General features: G+C 53.4%; 4 annotated features.

Moving 5' to 3' along the window:
- Positions 856 to 1,699: an enhancer, noted in NCBI's record as "H3K27ac-H3K4me1 hESC enhancer chr9:136994873-136995716 (GRCh37/hg19 assembly coordinates)". NCBI's record gives its function as "activates a minimal SCP1, AML or CMV promoter by ChIP-STARR-seq in naive H9 embryonic stem cells {active_cell/tissue: H9 hESC(naive)}" and the evidence as "EXISTENCE:reporter gene assay evidence [ECO:0000049][PMID:30033119]".
- Positions 1,700 to 2,545: an enhancer, noted in NCBI's record as "H3K27ac-H3K4me1 hESC enhancer chr9:136994027-136994872 (GRCh37/hg19 assembly coordinates)". NCBI's record gives its function as "activates a minimal SCP1, AML or CMV promoter by ChIP-STARR-seq in naive and primed H9 embryonic stem cells {active_cell/tissue: H9 hESC(naive and primed)}" and the evidence as "EXISTENCE:reporter gene assay evidence [ECO:0000049][PMID:30033119]".
- Positions 3,586 to 4,467: an enhancer, noted in NCBI's record as "H3K27ac-H3K4me1 hESC enhancer chr9:136992105-136992986 (GRCh37/hg19 assembly coordinates)". NCBI's record gives its function as "activates a minimal SCP1, AML or CMV promoter by ChIP-STARR-seq in primed H9 embryonic stem cells {active_cell/tissue: H9 hESC(primed)}" and the evidence as "EXISTENCE:reporter gene assay evidence [ECO:0000049][PMID:30033119]".
- Positions 4,468 to 5,349: an enhancer, noted in NCBI's record as "H3K4me1 hESC enhancer chr9:136991223-136992104 (GRCh37/hg19 assembly coordinates)". NCBI's record gives its function as "activates a minimal SCP1, AML or CMV promoter by ChIP-STARR-seq in primed H9 embryonic stem cells {active_cell/tissue: H9 hESC(primed)}" and the evidence as "EXISTENCE:reporter gene assay evidence [ECO:0000049][PMID:30033119]".

The following is a 10,669-nucleotide window of genomic DNA, read 5'->3' as shown; positions in this document are numbered from 1 at the left end:
TGAATGGTGGCATGTTCTCTTCCACTTCCTGTTGGGATTTAAACCTGTTAAACTTGCTTAAAAGTCCCTATGACTGTCTGCCTGCCCCACCTTCCACTCCACTCCAGGCCAGGGTGTCCCCGGGGACGGCCCCCCTCTTCCCCCAGGTGGTGCTGGGAGCTCAGCTGCGCGTGCCCAGAAGCCATGCAGGCACCAGTTTGGGTCAGGCCAAGCTGGGCGGATCTCCCAGCCAGAATTCCAGGAATGCGACCCTTGTTTCCAAAGCCAGGCTGCACCTGGCGCAGTCTGCAAATCCCCTCCCCACCTCGGGTTCTCGGTGGTGCTGGTGGCGGCAGCATAATCCCACTGGTTACAGAGGGTCCCGGCAAAGACCACTGTGAAAGATACAGCTCCTGGGACAGACCAGGTGGAAATCAGAGGCCCAAAGAGCCAAGGCGATTTTTCAAAGGCTTTAGTTTGTTTTGTTTAGTTTTGTTTGACAGGGCCGGGTGGGAGGAGTGTGGCTAGTGCAGTGGTGGTTTGTAGGAGTCATTTTTTAAGGGCTCTATATGCAGCTGCTAGTAGTACTCCACCCGTGCTTCCCCATCATACCAAACTATTTCCATCTGTCCGAGCTATTAAAAACCACCACAGCTGTTATTCCTGAGTGCCTACTGTGTGCCTGTCACCCACCTAAGGACTTCATTTATTTTTATTTATTTACTTATTTATTTATTTATTTATTTATTTATTTTTGAGACGGAGTCTGGCTCTGTCGCCCAGGCTGGAGTGCAGGGGCGCCATCTCGGCTCACTGCAAGCTCCACCTCCCAGGTTCACTCCATTCTCCTGCCTCAGCCTCCGGAGTAGCTGGGACTACAGGCGCGTGCCACCACACCCGGCTAATTTTTTGTAGTTTAGTAGAGACAGGGTTTCACTGTGTTAGCCAGGATGATCTCCATCTCCTGACCTCGTGATCCACCTGCCTCGGCCTCCCAAAGTGCTGGGATTACAGGCGTGAGCCACTGCGCCCAGCCTATTTTTATCTTTATTTTTATTTTTAAGACAGAGTCTCGCTTTGTTGCCCAGGCTGGAGTGCAGTGGTGTGATCTCAGCTCACTGTAACCTCCGCCTCCTGGGTTCACGTGATTCTCCTGCCTCAGCCTCCCGAGTAGCTGGGATTACAGGCCTGCACCACCTCCCCCGGCTAATTTTTGTATTTTTAGTAGAGACGGGGTTTCACCATGTTGTCCAGGCTGGTCTTGAACTCCTGACCTCAGGTGATCTCCCCACCTCGGCCTCCCAAAGTGCTGGGATTACAGGTGTGAGCCACCACGCCCGGCCCACCTAAGAACTTTAGATACCACCTCATTCAGTCCCAAACGTGGGAGCTATTCTGATCTTTACAGATGAGGAAAATGATTTAAAAGACCTCCACGCTCTGGTAGATGAGGAAAATGAGGGGCCCAGAGAGCCTCAGTGACCTGCCCAATGTCACACAGCCAAGTACATACAGGCTGGGGCTTGCCCCTGCTCTGCAGACCTCCGTAGGAGCCACGTGTTCCTGGAAGTCATACCGGCCCTAAGTGTGGACATCATCCCTGAGCGGCTGTCCCCACAGCAGCTCTGTGGTCCGCCCTCCACGCCGACACCCGCTCCCAGTTCCTTCCCTCCTGCGCCCCCAGCTGCACTTTAGCCCCGCTGCCCGTTCCCATTGTTTCTGGGATTTCACAGTGATGAAGTGTTTCTTTGGGATAAAATAGAAGCGCTCCCTGACTTGGTTAAGAGGCAGCACACTCTCCACGGGGATAAGTAACCTAAGGAAAGAGGTGACGTGGGATTAGGCGAGCGCGTACCAGCCTTGAGGGGGGCGGCCCTCGCCAGCCCGAGGCACTGAAGGCCGGGCCCTGGGGCGGTAGCTGAGGAAGAGAGGAAAAAGCCACAGACGCAGGGCCCGCCCCGCTGCATTTTCCACAGCTCGCGGAGAATTCCCTAGGCGGGGAGCAGCTGCCTGAAATAGGAAAGCTGACGCAGAGGAGAGGCTCGGGCTCAGGTGGAGGCCTTGGCCTGGTCTCTGGCTCCCAGCACCTCCCTTCCTTCCTGGCTCCCCCAAGGACCCTCGCGGCCCCTCCATCTGCCCACCCCTGCCCTATACCTCTGCGGTCTTTAACTCCCCACAAAACCAGCTAAGGCCTGAGCATCTCCACGAATGCGGCAGAAGAGGCTTCTCCAAGGCGGTCAGCCTGGGCCCTACTCCCAGCTGTCTTCCAGTGGCCAACAGAGCTTGGGGGACAGCCTTGGAGGCAGGGAGCAGCCACCCCACCACGCCTCCAGCGGCTAGAGGCAGGCAGGCAGGCACATGGGGCCGATCTCAGCACGGTGGGCTATGGGAAGGGTGGGCAGGCTCGAATTCGGGCAGAGGAGGTGCAGTCCATAGGACATGGCTGGTCCTGGATAGTTCTGACCTCAGACATTGAGTTCCTCATCTTGGGGTCTCATGTTAAAGCTGTCGGAAACCAGAGAGGCAGGGACTACCAGAGCGTGGAGGTCATTTGAATCACAACCGTGGTTTCTAAGACAGAAATAAAAGATGGACCCCAAGTGCCTGTGGGTTTGTTTATTGGAGATGAAGTCTCACTCTGTTGCCCAAGCTGGGGTGCAGTGGCACGGTCACACCTCACTGCAGCCTCGATCCCCCGGGGTGCAGGTGATCCTCCTGCCTCAGTCTCTCGACGAGCTGGAACTACAGGTGTGCACCACCATGCCCGGCTAACTTTTTAAATTTTTTGTAGAGATGGGGTTTTACTGTGTTGCCCAGGCTGGTCTCAAACTCCTGGCCTCAAGGTATCCTCCCACGTCAGCCTCCTAAAGTTCTGGGATTACAGCACTGGCCCCAGTGCCCATTTAGAATATACAACCCTTTGTGAGTTCCCTCCCAGGAATCTTTCCTTCAGAGACACCTGCAGAAGGGCCTGAGGCTGCCCCAGGATGTCCGTGGCAGCAGTATTTATAATGATGAACTCATTGGAGACAAATGTCCATCTGTAGAGGAATAGGTAAATACGCCATGGGACATCCGGATTCTGGAACAGTCCACGGCCGCCAAAAGGATAAGGTAGCTTGGGTAGTCCTGCCACAGAGCAACGGCAGCGACATGTTGTTAAGAGGGAGAAACAAGCAATGGGAGAAGGGGCACAGAATGACCAGTTTTGTAAAACAAAGCCAGATGCGGGGAGGAAGGTAGGCTTTGGAGGGTGCAGAAGAAATGGTTCCACAGGAGCCCACAAGGAATGAAAGTAGGAAGGACCAAGGCCAGGAGCGGTGGCTCACGCCTGTAATCCCAGCACTTTGGGAGGCCGAGGCAGGCGGAGCACCTGAGGTCAGGAGTTTGAGACCAGCCTGACCAACATGGTGAAACCCTGTCTCTACTAAAAATACAAAAAATAGCCGTGCGTGGTGGCAGGGGCCTGTACTCCCAACTACTCGGGAGGCTGAGGCATGAGAATTGTTTGAACCTGGGAGGCGGAGGTTGTAGTGAGCCGAGATCGTGCCACTGCATTGCAGCCTGGGCGACAGAGCGAGACTCTGTCTCACACACACACACACACAAAAGAAAGTGGGGGCGGGGGGGGGTCTCTCAGTTCTCCCTGGGGAGCACCGATGCTCTTCAGGCAGGTGTCCTGCCTTTGCGATGAAAGAAATAACAAGCCTCCTTCATTTTCCACAATAGAAGAGTGATACACAGGGCTGCTAGACCACTACAAATCTCTCCCATCAACCCAGTTCCCACCCCTCACCTCGTCACCCGCATCCCTGGAGTGGTGTTTATATAGGTACTGCCAGGTGTCGTGGGTCTGAAGCAGGCCCACCTGGTACCTGCCCTCAGGGAGGGCTCCATCTGGGGGAGCCGGACCCGCAGGCAACAGTTGCAGGATGCAGTGCCAGGTTCTGGAATGGAAGGCCATGCTGACGAGTTGGTGGAAAATCAAGGGACCCTTCCTGGGTGGTGTTCAACCAGAGGCGCCAGAAAAGCCAGGCTGCCCTGCAGGCACCACACAGGCCTCTGGGGTGAGGACGGGCTGTGTCAGCAAAGGCCAGGGCGTGGGGGCAGTGGGGTGAGGCTGGAGGCACAGGGGAGATCCAGCCAGAGAGGTGGGTATGCGTAGGGCTGACCCCCACCCCCACCCAGCATGCTACAGGGAAGGGTGGGCGAACGATGCAGACAAGGTGGGTGGGGGATGCTCACAGCCCTCCTTGACGTGAAGCCAGGAGACAGCTGAGCTGGCACAGAGACCAGCCACCCACACTGGGCCGACTTGGAGGCCTTTGCCTCGTGCCAAGCTGGGGAAGGTCAGGGAGGCCCAAGGATGAAAGAAACCATCCTGGCCAGGTGCAGTGGCTCACGCCTGTAATCCCAGCACTTTGGGAGGCCAAGGCGGGAGGATCACGAGGTCAGGAGATCGAGACCATCCTGGCTAACATGGTGAAACCTCATCTCTACTAAAAATACAAAAAATCAGCCGGGCGTGGTGGCAGGCACCTGAAGTCCCAGGTATTCGGGAGGCTGAGGCAAGAGAATGCGTGAACCCAGGAGGCGGAGCTTGCAGTGAGCCGAGATGGCGCCACTCCACTCCAGCCTGGGCGACAGAGCGAGACTCCGTCTCAAAAAAAATAAAAAAATAAAATAAAATAACATCATTTGGGGGTAGCAGTGTAGAAGGATGGACCCTAACTTGGACCCCAGTGCCCAAAGGCTGACCGGGTCTCGGAGGGGCCTGGACACACTTGTCTCTGCAGGCTCTGCCTTTCACCCCAAACGAGGCGGGTGGTGTGGGCAGGGTCCCGCCCTGCAGGGCTGTTTGTGAGAGGCAGAGACACTGTGAGCTTTAGGCCAGTCGGGTGAGAGCAGGACCTGCGGGAAGCGGTGAAGGGCAGCAGCAGAGGGAACCCTTGCAAAAGTCGCTGCAGACGGGCTGGGCCACGTTTCCGGGCTCCTCACTTAGGCAAAGTGCCTCTCAGACTTCAGGATGCAACAGAATGACCTGGGGAGCTGGTGGAATGCAGGTTCCCCGGCCCCCCGGTAGGTCTGGGGAGGAGCCCAGGAATCTGTAGTTCTTTTTTTTTGAGATGGAGTCTCACTCTGTCACCTCCTCTGGAGTGCAATGGCGTGATCTCGACTCACCGCAACCTCCACCTCCCAGGTTCAAGCAATTCTCCTGCCTCAGCCTCCGGACTAGCTGGGATTAGAGGCATGTGCCACCACGCCCAGCTAATTTTTGTATTTGTAGTAGAGGGGGGTTTCACCATGTTAGCCAAGATGGTCTCCATCTCTTGACCTCGTGATCCACCCACCCAAAGTGCTGGGATTACAAGCGGGAGCCACCACACCAGACCAGAATCTGTAGTTCTAAACAGCCACCTGTAAGCTCCTGGCCACACTTGGAGAAACTGCTCTGGGCCCAGCCCAATGTGACCTGGATGCAAGTCCATCCTCACAGCCTCCCCTCCCCTTCTCTGGCTCTCCCCTCGGCTCAAGTCTCAGCGCCTCCTTCCCAGCCTTTCCTTCCTCTGGCGCTGAGCCAGCCATGGTCCTGGGACTACACTGCCCGCACAGCCTCATCCCCTCCTCCAGCCTCGGCTCATCCCTCAAGGGCCTCAGTCTCTCCAGGGTCCCCAGATTCCCTTCCTGAGGGAGAATCTTGCAGTGTGGGATCCCACACAAGCCTGTGGAGGCCACCTATAGGCAGTGCCCTCCTCGCCAGCTATGTCTGTTGGGAGTGGGGAGTGTCCCGGCTCAGGGCTGCCACTTCAGCAGAGCCCGTGGTGGCCGAGAGGAGCTGAGAGCAGCTGCGATGTGACTGGCCACTTTGGCCTGCCTGGCACAGCATCCAGACAGTTCCAGCCATCGTGGGATGCTCCTCCAGCAACGCACCCAGAGACTACGTGTCTGTCCATCTGGGCGCTGCTAGCCTGGCTCTCTTGTCTCCTCTTTCTGTCCCGCAATCCCGGACCCTTCCCATTGGATGGTCTGTCTAGGGTGAGATCCCAGATCTGCCCCTTCTACAGCATGGGCCTCGTCCCCATCTCCTGTGTCCAGCCCTGCCACCTGCGCTGAGCTCTCAGCAGAGGGATCCTGACGAGAACATGGAGCCAGAGGTTTACGAGACTCTGAACTGCACAGGGGTTAAAAACATGTGTTTAGCTTAGAGTCAGACACACCTAGGCACCTCCCTACACCTCAGTTTCCTCTGCTGTAAAATGGGAAGCCCAACCCGTCTGGGGTTTTAAGGATTCTTATGCAATAAGGGGGCTAGACTCGGCAAGCCCTCAAAGGTACAGTTTTGTTTTTTTTTAGATGGAGTTTCCCTCTTGTTGCCCAGGCTGGAGTGCAGTGGTGCGGTTTTGGCTCACCGCAACCTCCGCCTCCTGGGTTCAAGCAATTCTCCTGCCTCAGCCTCCCGAGTAGCTGGGATTACAGGTGCCTGCCACGACGCCCAGCTAATTTTTTGTATTTTTAGTAGAGATGGGATTTCATCATGTTGGCCAGGCTGGTCTCGAACTCACCCCAGGTGACCCACCCACCTCGGCCTCCCAAAATGCTGGGATTACAGACGTGAGCCACCATTTCCCAGCCAAAGGTACAGTTTTTATTTATTTACTTTTTGAGACAAAGTTTCATTTCGTCATCCTGGCTAGAGTGTGGTGGTGTGATCATAGCTCACTGTAGCCTCAACCCCTCAGGCTCAAGCAATTCTCCTGCCTCAGCCTCCTGAGTAGCTGGAAGCACAGGTGCATGTCACCGCACCCAGCTAATTTTTTATTTTTAGTAGAGACAGGGCTCTCCCTATGTTGCCCGGTCTGGTCTTGAACTCTTGGACTCAAGCAATCCTCCCACCTCAGCATCCCAAGATGTCGCGATTACAGGTGTGAGCCAATGTGACCAGCCAGGTACAGTTCTTTTTTTTTTTTTTCCGAGATGGAGTCTTGCTCTGTCACCCAGACTGGAGTGTAGTGGCACAATCTCGGCTCACTGCAAGCTCCACCTCCTGGGTTCACGCCATTCTCCAGCCTCAGCCTCCCAAGTAGCTGGGACTACAGGCGCCCGCCACCATGCCCGGCTAATTTTTTGTATTTTTAGTAGAGATGGGGTTTCACCATGTTAGCCAGGATGGCCTCAATCTCCTGACCTCGTGATCCGCCTGCCTCAGCCTCCCAAAGTGCTGGGATTACAGGCGTGAGCCACTGCGCCTGGCCCAGGTACAGTTCTTTACAAAACATTTTTTTCTTAAATAAATAAATTGTAAACATTAAATTGGATGGGACTATCCATTTCTATGTCTTACACATGTGTAGATTTGTGGCCCACCACCATGACGAGGACTATAGGAGAGTTCAAACCTCCAACCCCTCCCGGCTGCCCCTTGGAAGTCAGACCACACCCCGTCCCCAACCCCTGGCTATCACTGATCCACGCTACCTCCCTCCAGTGTCGTTTTCTCCAGAATGACATACATGGAGTTACGCAATATGTAACCTTTTGAGACTGGCTTCCTTCGTTCAGCACAATGCCTTTGACATTCATCTTTCACGTTGCATGTTTCAGTTTGTTTGTTTTTTGTTGTTGTTGTTTGTTTGTTTTCTGTAGCCCAGGCTGGAGTGCAATGGTGCGATCTCAGCTCACTGCAACCTCTGCCTTCCGGGTTCAAGCGATTCTACTGCCTCAGCCTCCCGAGTAGCTGGGATTAGAGGCGCCCGCCACCACGCCTGGCTAATTTTCTTTCTTTCTTTCTTTCTTTCTTGAGACGGAGTTACACTCTTGTTGCCCAGGCTGGAGTGCAATGGCGCAATCTCAGCTCACCACAACCTCTGCCTCCCGGGTTCAAGCGATTCTCCTGCCTCAGCCTCCCGAGTAGCTGGGACTACAGGCGTGTGCCACCACGCCTGGCTAATTTTGTATTTTTAGTAGAGACGGGGTTTCTCCATGTTGGTCAGGCTGGTCTTGAACTCCCGACCTCAGGTGATCAGCCTGCCTCAGCCTCCCAAAGTGCTGAGATTACAGGTGTGAGCCACCGTGCCTGGCCTGTTTAACTTTTTAAGAGGCTGCAGAGCTGTTTGCCGAGTGGCGGTGCTGCTGCACGTCCCCAGCAGTGGGGGCGGGTTCTGCTGATCCGCACCCTCCCCAGCACGTGTTAGGTGTCCAGGTGTTCCTCCCACTCTAATAGGTGGGTAGCAGATTCTCATAGTGGGTTTTTCCCAACATTTTGTATTGTGGTAAAATACACATGAAATGTACCACCCTTCTCGCCAGTGTTAAGTGTGTGATTCAGTGACAGGAAGCACATCCACATTATTGTGCAACCGTCACCACTGTCCTTTTCTAGGACACTTTCATCATCCTAAACAGAAACTCTGTATACACTAAACGCTAACTTCCTATTTTCCCTTTCCCCCAGCCCCTGATCATCTCTATTACACTTTCTGTCTCTATGAATTTGCCTATTCTAAGTACTTTACGTAAGTGGAACCACACAATACTTGACTTTTTGTACCTGGCTGATTTCCCTTAGTATCATGTCTCCAAGGTTCATCTCTGTATCAGAATTGTAGCATGATTCATAATTTCATTCCTTTTGATGGCTGAATAATGCTGCAATGTATGTATATACCATTTTATTTTTATTTATTTATTTATTTATTTATTTTGAGACAGAGTCTCGCTCTGTCACCCAGGCTGGAGTGCAGTGGTGCCATCCCAGCTCACTGCAACCTCCACCTCCCAGGTTCAAGTGTTTCTCCAGCCTCACCCTCCCAAGTAGCTGGGACTATAGGCACACGCCACCATGCCCAGCTAATTTTTGTATTTTTAGTAGAGATAGGGTTTCATCATGTTGGCCAGGCTGGTCTCGAACTCCTGACCTCAAGTGATCTACCAGCTTCAGCCTCCCTAAGTGCTGGAAATACAGGTGTGAGCCACCACACCTGACCTATTTTTATTTTATTTATTATTTATTTTTTTTTTTTGAGATGGAGTCTCGCTCTGTTGCCCAGGCTGGAGTGCAGTGGCGCGATCTCTGCTCACTGCAACCTCTGCCTCCCAGGTTCATGCCATTCTCCTGCCTCAGCCTCCCGAGTAGCTGGGACTACAAGTGCCCACCACCACGCCCGGCTAATTTTTTTGCATTTTTTTAGTAGAGACAGACTTTCACCGTGTTAGCCAGGATGGTCTCAATCTCCTGACCTCATGATCTGCCCGCCTCGGCTTCCCAAAGTACTGAGATTATAGGCATGAACCACCGTGCCCAGCCTATTTTTATTTTTTTAATCTTTGTTCTGTTTTGTTTTGTTTTGAGACAGAGTCTCACTCTGTGGCCCAGACTGGAGTGCAGTGGCACCATCTCGGCCCACTGCAACCTCCCTCTCCTGGGTTCAAGCGATTCTCCTGCCTCAGCCTCCTGAGTAGCTGGGATTACAGGCATGTGCCACCACGCCCTGCTAATTTTTGTATTTTTTGCAGAGACGGGGTTTTACCATGTTGGCCAGGCTGGTCTCAAACTCACCCCAGGTGACCCACCCACCTCAGCCTCCCAAAATGCTGGGATTACGGGCATGGCCACGGCACCCAGCCTTCAGCATTTCTTTATTTTTTAATCCATTAATCTGTTGGTGGACAATTGGGTTATTTTCACCTTCCGGCTGTCGTGCATCATGCTGCTAACATAGCTGCTATAGTCCGGATGTTCGTTGTTGAAATTTGATCCCCAGTGTTGGAGGGGGACCTAGTGAGGGGCTTTTGGGTCATGGGGGCAGATTCCTCATGAATAGGCCTGCGCCCTCCCTCGGGGGTGAGTGAGTTCTTACTCTTTTGGTTCCTGTGAGAGCTGGATGTTAAGAGAACCCCTCCACCTTGCTTCTGCTTTCCCATGGGATCTCTGCACAGGCTGGCGCCCCTTCATCTCCGCCATAAGTGGACACCAGCTGAGGCCTTTACTAGGTGCAGATGCCCAATCTTGAACTTTCCAGCCATCAGAAGCATGAGCCAAATCAATCTTTTTTCTTTATAAGTGACCCAGTCTCAGGTACTCTGTTATTGCTACACAGATGGACTAAGACGATAACAGGCATCTGTTTGATCTCCTGCTTCCAGTTTTTTTGGGTATCTCATTGTGATTTTAATTTCCATTTCTCTCTTGACTCATGATATTGTCTTATTTCCACCTCTATATCTTCTTTGGTAAAGTGTCTGTTCAAACTTTTTTTTTTTTTTTTTTTAATTTTTTTGTGACGGACTCTCGCTGTCGCCCAGGCTGGAGTGCAGTGGCGTGATCTCAGCTCACTGCAACCTCCACATCCCTGGTTCTAGTGATTCTCATGCCTCAGCCTCCCTAGTAGCTGGGATTACAGGTGTGAGCCACCATACCTGGCTAATTTTTTTTTTTTTTTTTGAGATGGGAGTCTCGTTCTGTCGCCCAGGCTGCAGTGCACTGGGGCGATCTCGGCTTACTGCAACCTCCGCCTCCCGGTTCAAGCGATTGTCCTGCCTCAGCTTCCCGAGTAGCTGGGACTACAGGCGCCTGCCACCACACCTGGCTAATTTTTGTATTTTTAGTAGAGACTGGGTTTCACCGTGTTAGCCAGGATGGTCTCGATCTCCTGACCTTGTGATCCAACCTTGTGATCCACCCGCCTCGGCC

The sequence above is a fragment of the Homo sapiens genome, chromosome 9 (assembly GCF_000001405.40).
Source record: "Homo sapiens chromosome 9, GRCh38.p14 Primary Assembly".
NCBI classification, from domain to species: domain Eukaryota; kingdom Metazoa; phylum Chordata; class Mammalia; order Primates; family Hominidae; genus Homo; species Homo sapiens.
This window is presented reverse-complemented; position numbering and strand designations above follow the sequence as displayed.